The sequence below is a fragment of the Homo sapiens genome, chromosome 12, assembly GCF_000001405.40.
Source record: "Homo sapiens chromosome 12, GRCh38.p14 Primary Assembly".
Taxonomy (NCBI): Eukaryota; Metazoa; Chordata; class Mammalia; order Primates; family Hominidae; genus Homo; species Homo sapiens.
In genome coordinates this window covers 109,529,308-109,553,714 of record NC_000012.12, presented here as the reverse complement: position 1 = coordinate 109,553,714, position 24,407 = coordinate 109,529,308, and the positions used below count along the sequence as shown (strand labels likewise).

General features: G+C 51.5%; 1 protein-coding gene across 17 annotated transcripts in view, besides 2 other annotated features; it reads right to left on the bottom strand.

The window, feature by feature from the left end:
- Positions 5,886-24,407, bottom strand: part of UBE3B (ubiquitin protein ligase E3B) — a 70,196-nt gene continuing 51,674 nt past the window's right edge. For 4 of the 17 annotated variants that reach the window (XM_006719681.4, XM_047429847.1, XM_047429846.1 and 1 more), the window contains 4 exons: positions 23,643-23,825; positions 23,057-23,168; positions 20,157-20,249; positions 17,013-19,770 (listed from right to left, as the gene is read on the bottom strand). In XM_006719681.4, the coding sequence (XP_006719744.1) occupies positions 19,651-19,770; positions 20,157-20,249; positions 23,057-23,168; positions 23,643-23,825 (508 nt within the window). In that variant the 3' untranslated portion in view covers positions 17,013-19,650. Of the gene's footprint in view, positions 10,186-14,010; positions 14,038-17,012; positions 20,059-20,156; positions 20,250-23,056; positions 23,169-23,642; positions 23,826-24,407 lie in introns of those variants that run through there. The other 13 variants (NM_130466.4, XM_005253987.3, NM_183415.3 and 10 more) reach the window with 5 other exon arrangements.
- Positions 12,043-12,605: an enhancer, noted in NCBI's record as "H3K27ac-H3K4me1 hESC enhancer chr12:109978915-109979477 (GRCh37/hg19 assembly coordinates)". NCBI's record gives its function as "activates a minimal SCP1, AML or CMV promoter by ChIP-STARR-seq in primed H9 embryonic stem cells {active_cell/tissue: H9 hESC(primed)}" and the evidence as "EXISTENCE:reporter gene assay evidence [ECO:0000049][PMID:30033119]".
- Positions 14,054-14,555: an enhancer, noted in NCBI's record as "H3K4me1 hESC enhancer chr12:109976965-109977466 (GRCh37/hg19 assembly coordinates)". NCBI's record gives its function as "activates a minimal SCP1, AML or CMV promoter by ChIP-STARR-seq in primed H9 embryonic stem cells {active_cell/tissue: H9 hESC(primed)}" and the evidence as "EXISTENCE:reporter gene assay evidence [ECO:0000049][PMID:30033119]".

Sequence of the window (24,407 nt, the reverse complement as noted above, 5' to 3'; positions counted from 1 at the left end):
TCAGTGCCTGGAAGGATTTGTGGCTCATCCCTCCCCTCTGGCGGGGCCTGAGAATCTTCTGGCAATACTGACACAAGCTGGAATAAATGCATCTTTGCAGTCAGTCCAGCTAGAGGCAGGCGGCACAGTTTTAACTTGCCTTGGCCTATTGCTTTTCTTCTCTCAGAGTCCTCCTGGAAGATAGTGCTAAAGTCCAACAGAGGCAGGGACAGGCAGATTGCGGAGACCTAGAAACTTTGGGGACATCCCTCGTGTTCTCCCATTCCACAGAATCAGAAACTTCTCAAGCTGTGGTTTGTCACCTTTGGAATGCACACACACATATTCACAAGTTTGCATCCAGTCATAGGAAGTCCATGGAACCTCCCGGTAAGAATCCCTTTTCTAAGAGAACCCATGCGACCCTCTTCGGGAGCTAAGTCAGGATTCCCAAGGCTGCCTTCAGCAGCCTGTTTCAGGGTCAGATAGCTCCAGCCTGGAAGGGTGAGAAGATGCACTTGGGGCTGGCTGGGAGAGGCTGCTGGGTGACCTTTGATGCTTGTAGGGTTGTGGGGTGCAGGGAAGGACTGTCAAACAGCTGGCTTGGGCACTGGCCCCAGGCAGGCTCAGGTTCAAGGCCAGCTTTGTCACCTCCTGCCTTGGTGACTGGGCAAGTCATTCCATCTGTCTCGGTCTTGCTCCTCCACCTATAGAATGGGAATCATAACATCCACCCCATGGGTCACTGGGATTGTTTAATGAGGTAATACTTAAAAGAGTAATATTGCCCCCTGGCAAATATTAGCTCCTGTTATTACAGTTGTTTGCTATTACTACTACTATTTGAATTCAGATTCCATCTTTGTCACTTCCAGCATCTCCTTAAGCAAATGGTTTAACCACTCAAAGCCTCTTTATCTTTTATAATAGGATAATAATACCAATTTCCAAGAGTTCAGAAATAAGTCCACAGGCCCCAGACATGATAGCAGCTCCAAAAAATAGCTATTGTTGTTCAATCATATTTGACCCTTTTCAAAGCACGTTCTAAAAGCTCATCCCCAGGTGACGCTGAGGACAGCATGGCAGCACCTCTGGCCCCTCAGGCTTGCTGAGTGGGTGGGGGAGACAGGTGGCCTCCAGAGGTGGCCAGGCACAATCAGATGAGAAGATGGGGATGTGGCTCCAGGAACACAGGGCCAAAGTGAAAGTGAGAGTGAATTGCAGGACAATGAGAGCTGAACACGGTCTCAGACATCATTGCTCCCATTTTATAAATGAGGAAACTGAGGCCTGGAGAGGAGAACTATTTTTTTTTTTTTTTTGAGATGGAGTCTCACCCTGTCACCCAGGCTGGAGTGCAATGGCATGATCTCAGCTCACTGCAACCTCCACCTCCCGGGTTCAAGCGATTCTCCTGCCTCAGCCTCCTGAGTAGCTGGGATTACAGGCCCATGCTACCACACCCAGATAATTTTTTGTATCTTTAGTAGAGATGGGGTTTCACCATGTTGGCCAGGCTGGCCTCAAACTCCTGACCTCAGGTGATCTGCCCACCTCGGCCTCCCAAAGTGCTGGGATTACAGGTGTGAGCCACTGCGCCTGGCCTTTTTTTTTTTTTTTTTTGAGACCGAGTCTTGCTCTGTCACCCAGGCTGGAGTGCGATGGCGTGATCTCGGCTCAACTGCAACCTCCACCTCCTGGGTTCAAGTGATTCTCCGGCCTCAGCCTCCTGAGTAGCTGGGATTATAGGCATGCATCACGATGCCTGGCTAATTTTTTTTTGTATTTTTAGTAGAGACAAGGTTTCGCCATGTTAGCCAGGCTGGTCTCGAACTCCTGACCTCAAGTGATCCACCTGCCTTGGCCTCCCAAAGTGCTGAGATTATAGGCGTGAGCCACCTTGCCCAGCAGAGAGGAGAACTTAATAAGTACATCTTAATAAGGACCACACATAGAGCACTGATTATGTCCAGGCATCTTGCTAAGAACCTTACATTCAATAGTTCATTTAATTATGTCAAGAGCTCATGGAGGTGGAACTATTAATATTATCACCCCCAACTTACAGATGAGGAAACTGAGGCCCAGAGAGGAGATAGGAGTTTCTCAAGGTCAGACAGCTAGGAGGCAGAACCAGGCTTTAAATCAGGGCTCTGTGCCTCAAACACCATGACAGGCATTTCCTCAACACCTAGCTCTATGCTCAATTGTACTACAGTGCCAGGGTGTTCATGTCTTTCTAGTTCTCAGAACCCTACAAGGTACATACAATTATCCTCCCCATTTCACAGGTGAGGAAACGGGGGCTCCAAGGGTAAAGTCACTTGCTCAAAGTCACACAGTGTCCATGGGGGTGACACTGGGTATAATGATACTGTCAACAGCTGACACTTACTAAGCTCTCCTTACCACCAGAGCTTTTTAAACCATCTCAGCATAGCTAACCTTGGAGAGCACCTTCCTTGCATGCTTGGCATGTATTCCCCATAACAACCCCACCAAGTGGATGTTAGTACCTTTGCGTCATAGACTCAGAAACCGAGGCACAGGGAGACGGCACCTTGGCTGGTGTCACGCAGAGAGGAAGAAGTCCAACTTGGATTTGAACTCGGATCTGCCTGTCTCCAGCATGCTCCCTGTGGGCAGAGGCAAAGCCAAGACAAGGACCCTACTCTTCAGGTCCCCGTGGGGTGGCCGCCCTGGCACAGTTGGCAGTGAGGGCGTGACTGGCAATCAAGTGGGTCAGGGCTTCTTCTCTGGGGGAAGTGAAGGGACTACCAAAAACCTGGAAGAGGCTGGGTGCGGTGGCTCTTGCCTGTACTCCTGACATGTCGGGAGACCAAAGCGGGAGGATCACTTGAGGCCAGGAGTTTGAGATCAGCCTGGGCAACATAGTGAGACCCTGTTTCTTTAAAAAAAAAAAAAAAAAAAAAAGCCCAGGATTGATGTGCGCACCTGTAGTCCCAGCTACTCGAGACTGAGGTGAAAAGATCGCTTGAGCCCAGGAGCTTGAGGCCGAGTGAGCTGTGATCGTGCCCCTGCACTCCAGACCGGGCAACAAAGCGAGACCCTGTCTCAAAAACAAACCCCCAGGAGGAACTTAGTTGCCACAGCTACAAGTGTCCTCTCCGAGGAAGGGTAAGAAGCAAATGCCAATTCAAGGCAGCACGGGGCAAAGGCACCCTGGAGAACGGAGTACATAAGTAGCATGAAGGTGTCTAACTGACTCAGGACCCGAGCGGGGGGCAAGGTGACCTCTTCCCCCCGCCCCTCACTGCCGAAATGCCTCCCAGTGCAAGCTCCCAAGGCACCGGTCCTTCGGCTCTCATCACTGTCCATCTGCAGTGCCGATGGCCCTCACTGGTCAGCAGGTGCCTTTATTTACAATCACCTTGGAAGGGTCAAGCAGACATATGTTGCTAAGGGTCGTTTATTCTTGTTTATAAAATTTATGGCTTCACCTCGATTACACACTGTCAAAACAGAAAGGATTGGGCCCAAAGTCTCTTGCCGCATGACTGCCTCAGACGTGCGTACATCTGTTAACTCCGTGGGAGCTGTAGAGGGAAATAAGGTTCACTATAACTCAAAAGCTTGCTACCCTGCCACACGGTGTGAGCATCGGGCCTTGAGAAAAGACATCCAGGCGTGCACAGGGAGAGGGAGGAGGTAAGGGCTGCGAGTGGGCATGCCAGGTGGTCTCAGGACCCTGCCCCGGCCCGGCCAGGGACTCTCTCAAGGTGCTTTGACTGGGGAGTGGAAGAGAGAGAACTGTATTTCTATGGCCCTCGGGGGTCCAGCTGCAGGATCCCAGCAGCTGGAAAGAGTCCTGAGCCTATGGCTTTCCACCTGCTGACTTCAGCGGGGAGAGAGAAATGTTGACTCTCACGGTTGCAGGGAGTGGAGATCGGTATGAACTTTCAGGAGGGCAATTTGGCAATGTGCATGAAAGTCCTAGAGAGGTGTGTACCTTACAGTCCTGCAACTCTGTGTCTGAGAATTTTTGTGAAGGAAATAGACACATTGGTGGAGCTGCAAGAGTTTTTTTTTTTTTTTTTTGGCTTTTTTGTTTTTGTTTTTTCAGTGCAGGAAATAGTCACACTGGTGAAACTGCAAGGGTTTTTTGTTTTTGTTTTTGTTTTTTCCAGTGCAGAAAAGTGCTGCTCATTACAGTGAAAAATTGGAAGACAATGTCCAACAATAGGGAGCTGGATAATTAAATAAGTAAAATATTAACAATAAGGGACTGTAAGAAATACCATAAAGCCACTGAAAATGATGGTGTCTACATATTTACTTCTATGAAAGGGCGTTCACTATTATAAAGTGAAAAAAAAACCTAAATTGCAAAATGTTACATATAGAATGACCCAAATCCTAAAAAGAAACATACATGTGTTTATATACCATAGAAAAATGCATGTGTTACTAATATGTATCTCTCAGTGGTGGGAAGATGGGTGGTTTTAATGTTCATTTTCATTTCGTCTGGATTTTCTAATTTTTCTACAATGAATTTGGGCTGGATTTGACAAAAGGCTTACTGTGTAATACACATGAATGAAAGGAAACTGACAAGTGGTTTCTCTGCCTGTAAATAAACCATCTACCTCCCGTGGGATGGCTGGAGACTAGAGAGAAGCTTCTTAGAGGGTGATACTCCCTGATACATTCCAGCCCCCTCATGTGGGGAGGGTACCCTCCAGTAGCCAAAGCCATCAGGGAGCCCCGAAGTCTGGAAGCCTGGAGAATGTGCACCGTTTTCCCTGTCGGAGGCAGCTGGCTGTGCAGAGTCCAGCGTGCATGTAGAAGCCTGGCTTCCATTCTAGGGCAAAAGAGGTTGAAAGAAAAATGAACCTGCCTCCACTGAGCTGCCCCTGGGGGATCGCTGCGCCAGCTTTTCCCCACTATGTTGAGATGTTGGCATCTCTTCCTCCTCTGTTGGTTGCCCCATCTTTATCTTGTACAGGGGTTGAGAGTAGACAGAGAACCTTCATGTTTGTGATCTCATAGAGATTTTCATCCTGGATTATCACCCTAACTCTTCCTGGATAAGTGGCACCCCCATAGGTAGTGTGATGAGCCCAGTGTGCCAGTTAGCAAGTGGCAAAACCCACCTCAATCCCAGCCTCTGGTGTCAAAATCCAGTTTCCTTTCTCTTCTGTTCTGCTGAGAGCAGGGAAGGACTTATCCCAGGGGTAGGAAAGAGACACCAATTCCAAGTGATTGCCTGGCAGGCTGTGCTGGGTCCAGATTCAACAGGGAGGGGTTTGGGAATCCATTACTAATGTCTGCCGTGGCCTCTGGGAGAGGCAGCGGAGCGAGTGGCCTCTATTTGACATTTCTGATTCCTAGGGCAGAGCCCTCACAGATCTCAAAGGTGTGGGGACTTCAGAGGCACCTATGGTCTCCAGGCTGCTTGAGAGTGGTCAGGCTGTCCCTCTCAACCAGCCGCCAAAGCAAAAGCAGCTCTCCCAAGCCCACCGCTCCCCAAGAAAACTAGCTATCAGGAAGGGGATTTCTCAGAGCTTTCAGGCGACCCATCAGGGTCATTGATCTCTGAGAACCAAATACTTATAAATCTGACTAATTAATTAGCCCTGACGAGCTCACCACCATAACTCTGAATCTGTAATTACATTTCACATTAAAGCACGAAAAGTTAAGACTAAAGCCAGTGAGAAATGGTGTGACATCCCGCACCCCCACTCCATCCCCAGTCTAGGGACTGCAGCTCTGGAAACCACCTCCTTTTGATTGCGTTGTTCCCTGGGGTGCTGTTCCCAGCTGTGTGACAAACCAGTTCCAGCTCCCCTCCCCTGAAGTGGCTGCAAATATTTTGTACAGGGGACATTTTTGGGTTTAAAGTGCCCTGCAGCCAAAGACCACCAAGAACACACCTGTAGTCGAACAAAGTCAGATTTATTGTCTTGTTGCAATAAGGGAGCACGCGCACCGTGGGGAACCTGGGGTGCCTCAGGAAGAGGGTCTGTGCAAGGACTTATTATAGGGTTTTGGCGTGTGTTGGGGTTTGGGGGAGGGTTCAAGGAAACGTGGTTTCGCTGTGGGTTGGCTGCTGTCAGGGAGCAGGGCTATTTCTGTGATTGGGTATTTTAATAAATCTTACCTACAAGGAGGGAGGAATGAATGTGGCTAAACCTATAATTGAATACACCAGAGGGTCAGGCATGCATAGCCCCCAGCCTCGAGGAGCGGGCATCGGCTTGGGTGCCCCACCGTGCATGCATGCATGCGTGTGCGTGTGTACATGTGTGTGCGCGCGTACGCGCACATGCACCCAGGACGTGATCGAGTTCTCAGGATGGAACTCGATGATGCCTGCATGGCCGGCACTGCATGTATGACCTTGTTTGATCTCAGCAACCAGGGAAGAGTGATCATCCCAATTTTGCAAGCTTGGAAAGACGAAGTGACTTGCTCCAGGTCGTGATGAGAAAGTGGCTGAGGCTAGATTTGAATTCTAGTCTAGTTCTGGAATCTGAATCCTGATCACTGCCCTGGGGCCAGTGTGGGCAGGACGCCTCTTGTGGATATTTGCTGTTTGGGGACCCACCATCCAATTGCTTCAATTTCTTTTTGAGGATTTACTTCTTCCCATGGGATACAATCTCCATGGGGCTCTTTGTCTCATTTTCAACACACCAGAAATTATCTTATTGGTTTCTCCTTTGGTGTCTGTCTCTCTCAAAATACTCTGAATCCGGCTGGGTGTGGTGTCTCACACCTGTAATCCCAGCAGTTTGGGAGGCTGAGGCAGGAGGATCGCTTGAGCCCAGGAGTTCAACACCAGCCTGAGCAACATTGCAAAACTCTGTCTTTACAAAAAATACAAAAATTAGCCAGGTGTGGTGGCGTGCACCTGTAGTTCCAGCCACTCGGGAGGCTGAGGTGGGAGGATCACCTGAGCCCAGGAGGCAGAAGTTGCAGCGAGCCGAGATCGTGCCACATTGCCAGCCTGGGCAACAGAATGAGACTCAGTCTCAAGAACAACAAAATGAGATTGAATCCCAGTGCCTAGAACAGGCTGTGCACACAGCAGGTGCCCAAAAATATTTATTGAAATGAGTATGAAAGAATGAATGACATCAGTGCCTTGCCCAGTCTACTTCAATCCCTGAATTTTCTCTGAATTTCCCTAAAGACCCCTGCATGCACTGAGCGAGGATGGGTTGCTGGCTGGAGCTGGTTCATTCACGCCCACAGCATCCTAAAGAGACCCAGCTTCAGGCTGAACTGCACAGGTCCCCTGAACTGCCCTGGCTCCCATTCTGCTTGTGGCCTGGGCTTCCAGCCCTCAATACTGCCCAATACATTTCTTTTCTAAGTGAGGCAGAGCTGGCTTCTGTTGCCCTGGCTGATAAAGACCACTTCTGATGGTGGTTTGGTGCAGGTGGGCAGTTTCTAGCCATCCAGCTTTTGAGTTTGAACACTCGCTGGGATGAGCCACCCAGCCTATTCACCAGGGGCCCCTGTGATAGCAAACCAGGAGGGGAGACAGGAACTCTGGCCCCTGCTGCAGAGGCACTGGCGCATTCACCATCACTGTTAAGATGTTTGAGACCCTCCACACACCACCTAATGGAACCCGTTCCCAGATGCAGCCAAGGAGCCATGTTTGGAGTGGGCACTGATTCTGTCCCACTTGCAACTCTGCCTTAGCTGGTAGGGAGACAGGCTGCAGCCTGTTGGGACATGAATGATAAGCTAAGGAAGTCGTGGAGTCCCTGAAATTCCTCTGGCCTCCCTCTACCCGGTGAGCTTCCAAAGTGCAGGGTAGATCGGCCCTTTACTCAGCACACCCTGAAATCCAGCTCTGCCTTTCAGCTCTGTGCCTGGGGGGCAGCTGCTGCTCTGCAGCCTTGGGGAGACCAGGGCTCTAGGGTCCTGAAGAAGTCCTTTAAAATGCTGTGGGAACTCACTGGCAAAATGGGTGTGTCTGTCAGTTTGCAGCATCCCCGGCAAGGGTAAGTGGGACAAGCAGTGGAGGCAGCGGGCTCCAGATAAGGGACAGAGCAGCCCCTGGGGCTTGGCTCAAGCTGAGCCCTTTGCCTAGAATGTTCTCCCACCCCTCTTCTGCCTGCTCAAACCGAGTGAGGGCTCTGGAGTGTGGCAGACCAGGGTTTGAATCCTGGCTCTGCCACTTAACTGACTCTGGGGCCTTGGGCATGGGAATGACCAGCTCCTGACCTCAGCTTTCCCCACTTGAGTGGGCATCAGAATAGCACAGCACTAGATGCCAGGGACGCTGATCACAGGATGTGGCCATACACCTCCTCCTTGAATTAGTTCTGACTCTTTCCCACCAGAGAGTGAGCTCTGTAGGGCAGGGATCACGTCCACCGTGTGCACGGCTGTAACTCAGCACCCAGCCTGGGGCACAGGAGGCCCTGTGGGTCTGTTTGTTGGCTGAGTCTGAACTCCCTGGCAGTCTGGCTTCCTGGGCGGGGCCCGGCTCATCTGGCACCATCTGCAATGTGACAAAGCCACCCAGCAGACTTCACACCAAGCCCCACATGGGGTGTGCTCCCTCCCCTGGACAGTGTCCCTAGTGGGATGGGAGCAGGTCAGGAGAGTCAGTGGGACTAGCCCCTCTGGGAGACAGAAGGCTTCTGTCCAGGCCTCTGACGATCAGGGAAGGCAAGTGAGTGAGTGAGGTCACCTTCCTGGTCAAAGGCTTGGGCTTACATCCCAGTTCCTCATATCCTGGCTTTGAGTCCCTGGGCAAGTCACTCACTCCACCTCTCAGAGCCTCACCTATAAGAAGGAGAGAGCACTGCCCCTTCACAGGCAGGAGGAAGTGGGTAACAGATGGAAAAACATTTTGTTGACTGGGATCCACTGACCAAGTTTATTTCGCAAAATCTGTTGCCAAGATCGCTGTGCCCAGCCGACCAGCGTTATGGAGAAATACAGAGGCTGGTCAGGGTCTGCTGGGAAAAATACCTGAGTTTCTGTGTTTGAAGGCTGATGACCAGGAGCTCCCACAGCTGAGTAATTACCAGTAGCTTACCCCATGTGGCAGGGCAGGAATCCCCAGTGACACCCAAGAGTCCCGATGTATCCAGGCACACAGAGGGGACCACATGGAGTGCATGGGCTGGGGGGATCTGGGAGCCTTGGTCTGTGGTGGGAGATGCAGAGGCTGAGGGCCGACTTACCCAAGATTGTCAGTTAGAAGCTTTTCCTGGCTTTGTGGGGTGGCAGTGGCTCGGTTTTGACAGTTGATTTGGCGTCTCTGCTAGAACTGTACTTGCATGTTGCCAGGGCAGTTCTTCTGAAACACCCAGAGGCCTGCTCACCTTTGGCCTCATGGAGAAGCCCCGCCCCCCGCCCCACTTCACAAGATGTCTCAGGCCCCCCATACCTCTAGAACATTCCAGTCCACACCCATTCCCACCAGCACCCCAACTTCCCTCTCTCTCGCTCTGAGTGTCCACCTGTGGCAGCAACGTGGGCTGGGCAATGTCCGTCCATGGCCTGCTGGTGGCCACGTAAGGCCGTGTGTCCCTCCGGATGTCCACGTTTGGAGAATGAGAACTCTGTGTCTGGGAAGGGCTGCAGGGACCATACTCCAGGTTGTTTTGTTGTTATTGCTGGGGCCAGAAGAACCAGCTCGCTCTCTTCTTTAATGACCAGAGCTGTGGGCAGCTGCTTCCCAAACACACCCTGCAGTCTGAGGCTCAACCCTTAAGCCAGCACCCTCCAAGACAGAGGCCGACACCCCCTCAGGATGCTGCTAACATCTCGGGTGGCCCATCGTCTACATGTAGCTTGGGTACACTGCTAGGCTTGCTTTGAGAGGCCCGCTCCAACCCTCCTTATGGTACCATCTCTGGCTGTGGGCTAGTTTTTCCTGCTACCCCCCACTTTTTTTTTTTATTAGACAATCTAGCTCTGTCACCCAGGCTGGAGTGCAGTGGCGCAATCTCAGCTCACTGCAACCTTCTGCCGCCCGGGTTCAAGTGATTCTCCTGCCTCAGCCTCCAGAGTAGCTGAGACTACAGGTGCCTGCCACCATGCCGGGCTAATTTTTGTGTTTTTAGTAGAGACGAGGTTTCGCCATGTTGGCCAGGCTGGTCTCGAACTCCTGACTTCAAGTCATCCATCTGCCTCCGAAAGTGTTGGGATTACAGGCGTGAGCCACCACGCCCAGCCTCCTGCATCCTTCTTAAAGTGTGGCTCCTGGAGAGAAACAAAGGATCGATTCCAGGTAGGGTGTGAGCCACAGAGAACAGAATAGGACTATTACCTCCTTCACTCTAGACACTCTCCCACAATTAATGCAACCCCAAACCGTTAGGGCCTCAGCCGAGTCCTGCTGTGTTACCAGCCGCTGACCCCGTGCCGAGCCACTCCCCTGGAGCCTGTCTGCATGAGGCTGGTTTCTGGCACCTGGTGACAGGTCCGTGGATTATTCCAGTGAACATCATCTTGTCCAGCTCCACCTGTCACTCTACACTGTGGAGACTGTTTGGCTCCAGTGTCTGACACATCTGCAGTGTTCAGACAAGCCACACGCACACGCAGCCCTTCTGTATTTCCCGAGGCCTGAACAGTGGTGTTTCAGATTTTCAATCTGCCAACAATTTTTAAATCTGGAGATTTCACAGACATTGGAATTTGTGGCTTCTTTTGAAAAGTGGGGAGCCTGGCCACATGGTATCTAGCCTGGGCAGGGCGGCCAGCTGCTGGGGCTGAGCAGCAGCTGCCGGTTCCTGTGATGCCCACCAGCCCAAGTTCAAATCCTGGTTTGACCTCTTCCAAACATGTGACCTTGGGTGTGTGACAAATCTGTCTGGTCTCAAAATCTATACTAGTTTCCTGTGGCTGACGGAACAAAGCACCATAAACTCGGGGACTTAAGCAGCAGACATTCATCCTCTCACAATTCTAGAAGCTGTTAAGTCTGAAATCAAGAGATTCACAGGGTTGGTTCCTCTCCAGGCTGTGAAGGAGAATCTGTTCCTAGCCTCTCTCCTGGCTATGGGTGATGGCTGGAAGTCCCTGCGTTCCTTGGCCTGAAGGTTCCCCACTTGAGTCTCTGCCTCTGTCTTCACATGGCCGAGTCCTCTCTTTCTGTAAGGACACCAGTCACATCGGATTAGGGTCCCACCCTACTCCTATATGACCTCATCTGAACTAGTTACATCTACAACAACCCTATTTCCAAATAAGGCCACATGCTGAGGTAGTGGGGGTTAGGATGCATCTTTTTTGGGACAGAATTCAACCCATACACCATCTTGAGGACGGGATTAATAGTATGATCTCAGAGCTATTGAGAGGATTTGGTGACATATTCCAAGAAAAAGTGGCTGGCACCTGAGTAAATGTTAATTATGACTATTATTATTTCTACTACACTTTTGAGACAAGACATAAGCCAGGAAATGGCAAACAGGTTTAGCTTCCCAGGCCCATACCCATGGACTGCTGAAAGCAGCACATGAAGACACAGTGCAGGAATCAATTAGTAATGTCTGCCATGGGTGAGGAGGAGGCAGTGATGACACAGGCGCCAAATATTTCCCGTCCTTGAATAAGCAATTCTCCTTTTCACCCCCTCACCCTATGAGATTGTTTAGGATCTGTGAGCATGTGGTGGTTCATGGCATGAAGAATCACCTCCTGCCACACTTGCTCTGGAAGACAGTTGTAGTGGGTTGAATGGTGTCCCCCTGAACAATCTGTCCAAGTGCTAACCCCCAGAACCTGTGCATGGGACCTTTTTTGGAAACAGGTCTTTGTAGATGTAATTAAGGTAAGGACCACAAGATGAGATCATCTTGGGTGAGGGTGGGTCCTAATTCAAGGACAAGTCCTTCTAAGAGAAGGAGAAAGAGGAAGCCCTAGAGGGAAGACTATATGGGGATGGAGGCAGAGATGGGAGTGATACAGTTACAGCCAAGCACGCAGGGGCCACCAGAAGCTAGAAGAGGCAGGGCAGGCTTCTCCCCAGAGCCTCCAGAGGGAGTGCTGCCTGTGGGCACCTTGATTTCAGGCTTCTGGCCAGAACTGTCCGAGGAGAATACATTTCCGTTGTTTTAAGCCACCCGGCTTGTTGTGATTTGTTGCAGCAGCCATGGGAAACCAATATAGGAGCCAATGGAATTGTTTTAGAACAGCAATGAGAGTTACCTTCTGACCCAATACTCCACCCTGCCTGGCCCCAAGGCCAAGGAAGAAGGGGAGATAGCATTTACTGGGCAACTATAATTTGCCAGGTGCTTAACAGATGTGACCTCGTTTAATCCTCATGGCAGGCAGGAACTGTTATTCACTACTTTACAGCTGGGGAAAATGAATCTCCGAGAAGTGAAATGCTGCCTACTCTCAAGTCACTGAGGGTGGGTGTGGTGATCCGAGCTCAAGTACAGGTCCAAGGTCAAGGCCTGTGCCCTTGACCACTAGTCCACATTGCCCGTCACCGGCCTGGGTCACTGCTTGGTCTTCTGCGGCCTCTTTATCTGGGAACTGCTGTGTCTACAGCCCCTGCTGCCTGCAGGATCCTAGCCTGTCTCATCAGAGCTGACCAGACTAGTGAGGGGACCCTAGCTGAAGGCCACTCAGCCGCAGGCAGGTGGACCACGCTGGAACATGGTCTGAGGGATGCAGCAGTGGTTTGGCTAGAGGCCCCAGGAGCGCAAGGCTGCATAGCTGCAAGGATGGTGGACTCAGAGGCAGTTCATGGGGACGCTGGAGCCAGAGACGTGCAGAGAAGGGCTCATGTGGCCCAAGAGGAGGAGAGGACCACCTCAGCTCCCGCCCACCGCACTTCTTGCGTGGGTCCCAGAGCCGCTCTCATACCTCCTCACCACCTGCTCTGGCTCTGAGCTGGTCTGCCAGCTTCTGCTCTTTGCAACAGCACAAGTTCTGGCTACAACACACAAGTTCTGGCTACAATGTTCTTGTTGTAAAATAACTTGTCCCTCCCCAGCATAAGGCAGGCTAGTTTAGGACTCTGTGTGAGGGGCAGTCCTGGAAGGGCCAGAATGACTTCACAATAGCTTCTCTTTCACATGCCCGTGGTCTGAAGGCCAAGGACACTGGGTTTCCAGAACACTGAGTTTTTTAAACATCCATGTGCCATTCCGACAAGTGTCTTCCTTTACTCAGTGGCCACTGCCATGGCCCCATAAAAACCAGATTTAGAAGCATTTGGAGAAGGCAGCCTGACTGGTAACCCTGCACATAGGGGGCCCGGTGCAGTGAATGGCTCATGCCTGTAATCCCAGAACTTTGGGAGACCAAGGCAGGTGGATTGCTTGAGCCCAGGAGTTCAAGACCAGCGTGGGCAATATGGCAAAACCCTGTTTCTATAAAAAATACAAAATAAACTAGCCGGTTGTGGTGATGCACACTTGTGGTCCCAGCTACCTGGGAGGCTGAGGTGGGAGGATTGCTTGAGCCTCGGAGGCGGAGGTTGTAGTGAACCAAGATTGCGCCTGGGCAATCTTGATCCAGCCTGGGCAACACAGCAAGACCCTGTCTCAAAAAACAAACAAACAAAAACCAAAAATCCCCCACCCAAACCCTGCACATACATCTAGGCAGACTCAGGGCCTGGGGCAGCCAAGGAGCAGAAGACTTCGGCAGCAGAATGAACGCTTTCAGCTTCCTCTGCAGGATTCTCTGGGGTCAAGGAGGCAGGGCACATCTTCAGAGAGGTTTCTCTGTCGTTGCTGGTGGGCTCCAGCAGGCTGGCTCTCTCGGTGGAAGGTCTATAAGCTGACACAGACCCCATCCCAGTATGCCCAAGGCTTTGAGTCTCCCTACAGCTCAGAAAACACTTGGACTGTCACGGTAAGAAAAGCATGATGGAACTGCAACTGCTGGTCCCCGGGTGGAGGAGCTGCTGCCCCCAGTGCATAATGGAAGCTCGGGAATAGCTGGGGTGTGGGCACACAGGGAGCCTGCACACCAGGGGCTGAGCGAAGCCCAGCAGAGGATCCCCGGGATGTCCTGTTAACGTCAGCCAAAGCGTCTTGCAAGGAGTTTCAAAAACAAACTCCAGAAGGAATGTCAATTCGATCCCTGGAACAAAATAATGACAGTTATCACAGCCATGAGTCATTGATGGCTCATAGATGGCACAGACTGGGGCTTTTCAGCCCATTTCTCTGTGGTTCACGGCAAGACTGCATGGTGGGTGCTGCTATCCTCGTTTCATGGAAGAGGAAACTGCAGGTCTGAGGGGCCAGGAAACTTTCCACCGGCCTCCCAGATCGTGGGCGGCAGAGCTGGGGTTTGCACCCAGCGGCAGGATGCTCTGAGGCTCTTGCTCTCTCTAATGCCCTCGTAAGATCTGCACTCAGCTGGGGCTCTGGAGCACATGCTCTCAACAAGTGTAACAGTCAGGATGACTGCCGTGAAGCAAAGGATGCCATTCTGACCCCACGCTCCAGAGGGTGGTGAGAACTATGAATGCCGCCTAGGCTGCTGTGCAGTTTTGTTTTTGTGGGGTTTTTTTGTTTTTGAGACGGAGTCTCATTCTGTCACCCAAGCTGGAGTGCAGTGGTGTGATCTTGGCTCATTGCAACCTCCGCCTCCTGGGTTCAAGCAATTCTCCAGCCTCAGCCTCCCGAGTAGCTGGGACTACAGGTGTGCGCCACCACACCCAGGTCATTTTTGTATTTTTAGTAGAGACAGGGTTTCACCGTATTGGCCAGGATGGTCTGGAACTCCTGACCTCAGGGGATCTGCCCGCCTCAGCCTCCCAAAGTGTTCAGATTACAGGCATGAGCTACCGAGCCTGGCCATGCAGCTTCTTCTGAATCACAGTCCAAGCGATTGTATGTGCAGTGTAGGGGGCACAGTGAGGTGCCCTGAGGCCACAGGGGCCTGGAAACGCCTTGGCTGGATCCTTCTGGCTGAAAGGCACTTTGCTTCTGTTCTGTGCTACTCAGACGATTCCTCAGAGGCGGCAGTGTGGATGAGGGAATGTGACTTTCCTCCGATCTTGCCTAAGTGCAACAGATAACTGCTCTCCATCCAGCATCTCCTCACCCTGCTGGGATCATCAGCAGCAGCAGGAGCCACTCTGGAAGCTTAATCCGAGCCTGATCTCCAGGGTCATGGGCAGCCCTGTTTTCTTAAAGTGAAAGGTGAGGAAATGTAGGAAGAGGACTAACGGATGCGTACTTGGTGCCAGGTGCTGCGCTGGGTGCGTCATATGTAACTGCATTTAATCCTCACGTGCTCTGGAGGGGACATCAAGATTCCTGTGTTCTAGATAAGGAACACACAGGGAGGCTGCCCTCCACGTGGGGCAGGAAGTGGAGGGTTGGGGTTTGCTCACACATCTCTGCGATTCCAGAGCCCACGCTCTGCTTCTTGGAAAACAGCACTGAAGGAACCACTTCCACAGTTCTCCGGCCACTCTGGCCAATTTGATAAGTTTCCAGGAGATAAGCCTGAGGCTTAAGGGGGTCCTGGATTTACTCGCCAAGCTTGGCGAGAACCCAGCTGTCCAGACCCTATGGCTTTCAGCAGTGCCTTGTCTGCTAACAGGCTCTGCTGCTGTCAGAAGAGTGGAGGCCAGCGCTTCTCAAACTCTGTTCCAGCTAATTATTCTTAGGCACTTGCAAGTTCTGTCAGCATATTACAATTATATTTCCATTTAAATAATTTTAAAAACTCACTTATTTTTCCTGGTTATAAAGACATCCTTTCTCTTTGTAGTGATAACTTGTAAGTAAAAGCCAGAATGTTGGCCGGGCGCGGTGGCTCACGCCTGTAATCCCAGCACTTTGGGAGGCCGAGGCGGGGGGATCATGAGGTCAGATCAAGACCATCCTGGCTAACACGGTGAAACCCTGTCTCTCCTAAAAATACAAAAAATTAGCCAGGCAAGGTGGCGGGCACCTGTAGTCCCAGCTATGTGGGAGGCTGCGGCAGGAGAATGGTGTGAACCTGGGAGACGGAGCCTGCAGTGAGCTGAGATCGCGCCACTGCACTCCAACCTGGGCGACAGCGAGACTCCATCTCAAAAAAACAAAACAAAACAAAAGCCAGAATGTCACAGAATAAAGCTTTAGTTTTAGGTGGGTGTGCCTCACACTGGAGGCTGGCGATGTGTGTTTTGGGGAGGCAGGTGGTTACACTGTTTTTTCTTTTAGTTACATGAACGCTCCTTGTGAGGACGCCTGCGTGCATGAATTCTTCTTGGGTGTTGAGACATCTGACTTCCAGAGAGGCCACAAGCCTCTCCAGGGTTCTTTCCTGACTGGATCCTAACAAGCCAAGTTTGTGCTCTGATCCTCAGGGGCTTCCCAGGCCAGGGGAGCAGCGAGAAGCCACTGGGACTTCAGAGCTGCCGAGGGTCAGGACAGAAGCACCAAGGCGGGGCAAACACCTGGCAGGTCTGACCTGGGCTCCTGGTGCGGAGGAAACCTGGCTGGGGAATGCAGTGAGAACGGCTGCGTGTCCTGTGGGGAGACAGCAAGTGCAATCCTCACTAAGGGAACAACGCCTGGCACACCCAGAAGTAGCTGTAAAATTTCACTCCAGACACTTATCTGGGTTTGTTCAACATCCGTTGATCACTTTTGAAAGTTACTACTGGCTGGGCATGGTGGCTCATGCCAGTAATCTTAGCACTTTGGGAAGCCAAGGTGGGCGGATCACTTGAGCCCCTGAGTTCGCGACTGGTCTGGGTGACATGGCAAAACCCCATCTCAAAAAAACAAAAAAAGAATATTACTGTGTAAAACATGGACTGCAAAGATATACACCCAACCTATGGTGACAGCTGCCTCTGGGAAGTGGGTGAGAGGGATGGGCCCATAGAGGGTGCTCATCTGAAATGTGTTACTTCTTGAAACACAATTGGAAGCAAATAGGACAGACTGCCAACATCCCTGAACTCTGGCTGGGGAGATGAGGACATGTGCTCTGCGCCCCTCCACATCTTCCCTCCATTGTGGAAGCCTACATGCTCCCTAAGCCCAGATACCCAAGTGTGAACGGTCCAGGCATATGGCGGAATGAAATGCAGAACGCAGCCATCATATGCTGAAGTACAAATTTAATAAAGCCTTTGATCACATCTCAATCCATAAGTTAGCTACAAAAACAAAAAATCCTACAACTTTTTAGAGCCATCAAGAGCCATCAAGGTGTCAGTGAACACCAGTTACAAAAGGAGATTCAGTGTTTCAGATAGTGCAATATTTCCAGCTGCTGAAAAGAATTTAAATGAAATTACAAACTACCCCTCCTTGTCAAAAATCCACATGAAGTTGATATTGGTGCTTATAAATCACTCTCTCCCAGTCCCTCACTGGTTCCAACCTTCAGGTGATAAAAATTAGGATGGGATCCATCTTCCCTGTGCTGACAGTCTGGGGTCCCCGCATGTATGCACGAACCCGCCCAGCGTGCGCACACACGTTCAGAAGAAATCTTCAAAGGAACCGAGCGTTTGGAGAAAGTGGCAAGTCCACAGAATCAGAGGTTACGAACACACCTTCAATAATATTAATACATTCCTGTCTTTAAATTCCTTGCCATGTTTCCATCAAAGTAGAGCACACACTCTTTTCCAGAAGCCTGGGGGCTCGACCTGGGTGGGACACCAGGATGCAGCTGAAACTCTGAAGGACTGTGGAGACGGGTGGCCCCTGCTTTGCTGCCACTGTGACAGCTCTTGTTGGAAAATGTTTTGCGTCTTTGAGGAGAGCAGAGGAGGGACTGGGCCTTCCTGGCTTCGAATCCGGCATCAACCTTGGTGGTGCAGGTGCAGGAGCATGAGGTGGGAGAGGGTGGGTGGCTGTCAACACAGACCACAAACAGGGCCTCTGCCTCAGTTCCCTGGAGCTAAAGTTCTTACAACAAAGGTAAAGAATGAGGGCAGAGGAACACAATGGGTTGGAAGAGAAATGAAGTTTAAAAAAAAAACAAAAAACCCAGAGGGTGTGAGCCTCTGTCAGTGCAACGGGCTTCCGGGTTCCCTGTGCTGAGGAAGGATGGGCAGCAAGACCCAAGTTTCCTGGGATTTTGCAGACTCAGGAGTGAAGCCACCGCCCAGATGGGATGTGTACCTTAGGTTAGTGTTTGTTCCTCATTAGATAACCAGTGAGACAAATAAGCAGGGTCAAAGGCAGCCGTCCTCCGCGGGACAAGCAGGCTTTGGGGAACAGGCAGCACATTCTGGAAACGGGGCTGCTGCTAAGGGCCGTTGTTTTTCTTCCCCCAAACCAGGATGCCAATGTGAATGCATAGGACGGGAATAGGTCCGGGAAGACTCTCTGGCAGCTCAGCCCGCTGAGGACGCAGAAAATGGGAGGGCCGCGGCGTGGAGCGCGTGGCTTCAAGGCAGGAGCAGCGCCTTGGACTCACGGTGTCCATAGCGTCCCTAGCAGGCGCCTGCGCTTCCCTGGGCAGCAGATGGGCCTGGCTGTCTGGGAAGAGGCGCTGTGGACGGCATGGAGGCAGAAACTTTGTGGGGTGCATAGAGGCTTGGCGAGGCCTTACCTGAGTAAGAGATTTCAGAAACGGAAGGAGAGGATCTCACGCACAGTAGGCTTTGTACACTCAACCCATGCTGCAAAAACCACTCTAGACTCTTGGAACTCCTGGGACTTGTTCATACACAGCTCACTCAGACGGCTAAGGAAAGACAGACTCCCAAAAGATCAAACTAGCTAAAAGAAGCCCCTCTGCCATCACCAGGAAGAATGGACCCGTGTTGGTGGAATCTGGAGGTTTATTTTCTGCAGCCCTGTGCCTTGGGCATCACCTGGAGATGCTGTGTAGTGCTGTCGTGGGCGTCTAAATTTCTTGAGGCCACAAGGAGTCTCATGGCTATAGAGAGGGTCTAGGGGCCAATGTCACCTGGCATGTTGGTCACATTCCCAGGACCACACTGCCTCTGGGAGCTGAAGGTCCCTGGCAGCCCAGGAGCCCTGGAGGCAGGGCTGGGACAGGAGCTAGGAGAGTTCAAAGCCCGTGTTCATGCTGATGGCGTAGCGCAGCTTCTCGCGGAGGACGCTCTTCTTGCTGTAGTTGGGCAGCTTGAGCAGGTTGAAGCAGGTGGAGGAGGTGGGCAGGCGGCCGCCTGGCTCCCGCTTGCGGATGGTGAAGAAGCCCCGGAGGACGCTGCCCAGAGTGTCCCCGGTGTCCTGAAGGCACACATCGTGGCCTTGAATTGGGAAGGGCCTAGTTTGGGAGCCCAGGCTGATGCCAAGGCCAGGGAGCCCAGGGAGGGGATCTGGCCAGTCCCTGGATGCTGGGCAGAGTGCAGGGCGCTGCCCTGGCACCACTACCCGAGGTCAAGCCCCAGACACAAGACGACTGGCTTCCAGAGAAGGAACCCCTTCTCCCTGGGGCCTGCACAGAGAATTCCTGCACTAAGTAAGCTTTTGGAAATGGGGCCTTCCGGTTCACAGCGAATTACTGGTTAACCAATTGACAAAAAGTAGAATGCTGTAAAAACTGTTAGGTGCCCAAACATTTCTGAATGCACTCCTCCCTCCTCACCGGTGCTGTGGCCGGTGGCAGACCATGACTTGGGCCAACTTTCCCTTAAGCATGGAGGCCGAGGACTGTGTAGCTTCCTGTACAAGGTGGCATCACGGGCTCAAACTGCATCATGAGAGGCAGCTACACCCAGAGGCGGCCACTGGGTTTTTATGGGGAGTAGGACTCTCATTTGAGCACCCACAGTGGGCCAGGCTTGAGACACACAGAGCTCCGTAACCCTGAAGGCTTTCCTTCTCCTTTGGCCAATGAGGAAATGAAGCAGCGAGCCTGGACGTGCACAGCCTGCTGGGGTAGGAGTAGCATTCGAGTCTGCGCCTGCCTGCCTCCTGAGCCCACTCTCTCACTTTCTCCCATGCTGCCTCAGATCTGGAGCCCTGGTGAGGCCAGACGCCACTAAAAACAGCACGTACCCACCCCCACTCCAGGTACCCTTCCCTGAGGAAGGAAAGAGAAAGGGGCTGCCGAGAGAGGGCTGAGTCCGTGGGCAGTCTCTCTGGGGCTGGCTGGTTCTCCTGCCGTGAGAACTGTGGGGCCCTCCTCACTTGGCTCTGAGGGGTCCAGCTGCCTGCCTTGCTGAGATATGGACTAGATAAGGGCCTTGCACAGTGGGCACAGCAGACAACCACCAAGAGGGAAGTCAAGGCTCTTCCCCACCCACCCCGTGGGGGTACCTGATCGTCCGACACCTCCACGCAGCGGATGGAGAATGGAGGCTTGAGGTAGGCGAATCCCAGGAGCGGGGGTCTGGAGCAGCTGGTCACGAACTGCAACACAAAGCAGGGTCAGTGGGGACGGGGCAGGCTCCTGCTCTTCCAGGACGGGCCCTTGCAGCTGTGTAGCACGTGTTTGCTCTGTCTGTTACCGTGTTGTAACTGCTGTCTAGCCAGCCGTATGGAGTGGCGGGGTGGATCTGGCCCCAAAACTGGCACACGCCGTACATCTCTCTCAAGGGTGCTGCTCTCGGGGACTAAGACACATGAAACCCATACCCAATAGGTGCGACTGGCCACTTGTGAGAGCACGTGTGACTGCAGAGTAGGAACAGCACAAATGCCCAGCCAGGGCACTGGTGAGGCGTCCCCGAGAGGCAGGTCTCCTGTGGGATTGTTAAGAGGAACAGAGCAGCAGCTGACACCCTCCCACAGAGAGACCATGTGAGGAGAAAATGGGAGACGGTGAGGGCGAGGCGGAGGCTGGTGGCACCCACTGCACGTGGTGCGAACAGAGGGAGCCCGGGAGACCCGCACTCACTGGCCTTGCACTTGGCATCCTGCCGGCTCCTTATTCATGCAGAGGGGACTGCACAGGTGCAGTCACCTGAGCCCTGGGCCTGCTGATTTAGAGTGGTCTATGTGCTGGGGCCCCGGGGGACCCTGTGCAAGAGACTAATAACCTCTCAGCACACTGACAAAAATGAGGCCCCAGAGCCAGTGAGGCTGCAGAGCAGGCTGAGGTGCCGGCAGCCCAAGTGGGGCCTGTGGGCAGCCAGCCACACTTCCCTGCTACCCCCTGGGAACTCCCGGCGTTCTCCAAGCGGCAGCCCCTGCGTTATTCCTGCAAATGTGCTAGCTCGTGCCTGGAGAGAGGCATCTGACCAGCCTGGAAATCTAAGTGATAAACTTGCACAGGAGTGTCCCAAGAAACCATTCACTTTAACTCAACAGTAGCCAAGAATGTTCTCCCTTCTCTAGGGGATACAGGGGCTTGTCACTTACATCATCAAGCTGTCCTCCAAAACTCAGGGGCAATTTGAGGGTTTGGGTCTGTTATAAATGGTTCTGAGATTCCTGAGACCATCCAAAGACAGTTTATGTGTGTCGGGCATCAAAAAAAGTTTTAAAAAGAGTATTAACAAGATCTATTCCTATTCTAACATGTTTTATTTATAAAAACCATAGCAGCATCAATGCAGGAAGCATTTTTGTGTTTCCACACTGTGACGAGCATTCCCTGAATGCAACCTCATCCAATCACTCTACGGATGCTGTGTGTCGGGGCTGTGGTTAGTCCTGTTTTAAGAATAAGGGGACAGACACAGAAGTATCTGTGCATCCCAATTTAGGCCGGCTCAGGTCTGCCCGCTGCAAATTCAGGTGGGTGAAAGGAGGGAGGGAAGCTTTCCCGCTCCTGCGAGCGGGGAGGGGCGGAGGACACAGGAAACCCCTGGATGCTCTGCTTGCTTTACATTTAAGAGAAGCATGGTCGTGGTCACATCCACTCCTGGGCAAGGGTTACATTTCTTCTGCTTGGCTCTGGGGCCTGTATGCAGCTGCACAAAAGGGCAGGCACATGGTAAGGAACTGTAGGTTTGGTGACAGGTTATCCAAAGGCACAAACACACCTGTTTTGTGGGGCAGCACCTGCACAATGATGAGACACTGGTTTTCCTCTGTAGGAGGGGCCAGCGTGAGCCGTTTTATAGCTTGGCAGAAACTGCTTTGCCCATGAGGCACTTCTGGGAAAACTGAACTGATTCTCCCAGAATCAACTTCTGGAATTCTGTCTGCCTGCCCATCCTAAATCCCCGGAGACCTGTGGGGATGTGGGGCATTTGTGTTATCTGCTGGACTGCGTGAGGGCCTCTTCAACAGGAATAAACTCTCCTCAGAATGACCACCCAGGAGAGAGGAAACCAGCTGTCATTTTAATTGCCAGTGACACTGTCCAGGTTGCCTCAACAGATGAGGCCACATGAGATTGTTCAAGCCCAAACCTCCAAAAGAAAACATTTCAAGGCACTAAATTTACCACCAGAACATGGCAAAATGTTCATTGATATTCTGTCAAGTAGGAAGGCTGGTGGGAAATGATAGGATCCCATTTTTAGAGAAATATACACATATATAACACATACACAGAGAAGCGTGTGTGCCATTCAGCGTCCTAGGAAATACTTACACACTGCTGATGTCAGTAACAAAAAACAATGCAATGGCATTAGGGGAATATTTTGAACATTTACAACTTTTACAGACACCATAACTGGGGAACCAGTTAACGTCAGCCACTTTATTTGCAAAAATACATCTTGATATCAGCCTAAGCAATTGTGTGTGTTTTATTGGGACACTGTGGGTGTGTATGTGTGTCTTACGCTATTGAGAAAATGGGTATAGAGAGACAGTCCCTGGTGAGTAGGAGTGTAGAGAGTTGACAATTCCATACTGGAGGAACAGCAATTGTTTAATATTTTGCTTATCTGTATTTTCCTAAGGTAAGGTTCCAAGCAGAGGGTCATTTACTTCTATAATGAAAGGAAATAAAGAAAAAAGATGTTATCAAGGCCAGCATAGGCAAAGGGGAGGACGGAGTGCCGAGCACAACAGGTATGCCCACCTGTGCAGGGGGCCTGTCCCTGCAGCCAGGGACACACAGCAGGCTCGGCCGTGCCCCTCAAGCCCCTCTCTGGTTACTGCTTGGCCTACCGGGAGGCCTGCCTGTGGGAGAGGATGTGCTGACTATCTGAGGTCCTCCTGATAATTTCAGTTTCTTCAGCGTAAATTATTACATCAACTGGCCTTCCAGGTTTATGAGAATACATGCATGCATGCATAGGTAATAAATAAAATACCTTCAGAAACATAGCTCTCTCATCCGGTGTGAAGTCGGAGGCCAGAATATCCCAGAGCCAGATGATGACTCTGTGACTTCCATGGAAACCACCGTAGTAGACTGTGTGCTTCCTGAAAGCAATACAGACCTGGGCTCAGCAATGTGCTAGCGTGGGCACTTATGGACAGGCAGGCAGGTCATGCAGACAGCTGGCACGGTCCACTCTGGCAGGCCTGGGGAACACTACTAATTTCTCTTAAAGCCAGAAGTTCATGCCTCAATAACTCTATCTCCCTGGGAAGCTAAAAGGGTGGGGAATTTGAGAGCTGGCCCTGCTGTTCCCAAGCAGAGGCCAGCCCCAGATCCTCTGACCCCATCTCCTAGAGCTTCAGAGAACCCCCAGTCCTCAGGCCTGCTTCCACTTCTTAATCTCTAGGCAGACAAGTGGTCAAGCTTTTAATCCAAAGCAGTCTAGCCAGTCCAGGGAGGAGAAGGAGATCTGGAGACAGGCTCCTAAAACAACTCTCTAAAAGGAACCCAGCGAGGGAGCAGCTGGCTTTCTGGGAGGCCAAGGAATTTCACCCTTCCCCCCACCCGCCTCTTACTTTAAATCTTCCAGATCAATCTCAGCATTGTCGCCAGAGATGAGACGCTGCAGTTCAGGAGTTGAGAACATTCGGATCCACTCGGGTTTGATAATGGAACGGAATCCGCTAATGAGGGCAGCTGTTTGGTTTTTTATTTGAGTGTGCATTCGAAAATGTGCCATCAGATGGATGTAGCTAATTCTGTTGCCAACAAGGAAGAGATAACAATGACAATTAACAGGACGGGGCAGGCTGTCACCAATGGGCTGAAAGACAGTCTAGTCATTTCTGAACCATTTTACAAAAAACACAAATAGTACCAGAGTGTTTCATCAGAACAATGACAATGGCGACAATGACGACAGCACTCACGAACTGCACACCATACGCCACTGTGTGCACATCAAGCCTTTGAGGGCACTGCATCATTCACTCCTCCCCAAAACCCATAGGTCACACCTCGGGGTAAGCCCCCACTATGTCGGGAATCACAAGGAGACATTCCCCACGTAAGAAGAGGGCCCTTCTTAGTACAAAGGGTGCTTTTTGGACTTTCATTTAATCTCATTCTTCTGGACATAAATCAATTAAGATACCATTCAGTCCTCTAATAAGTTTTAAAATAGAAAAAAATTGTTTCATGTCAAAACTTTAATCAAAACCTTGCTAATCTGGATCAACAGTCTAATGCTATGGCAAGGCGGACCTGCAGATGCTTTAAACACGCAGCTGGGCTAGGAGTGGACTCAACTGGGAAGTCAGAGCAACTTACAATGGTTCCAA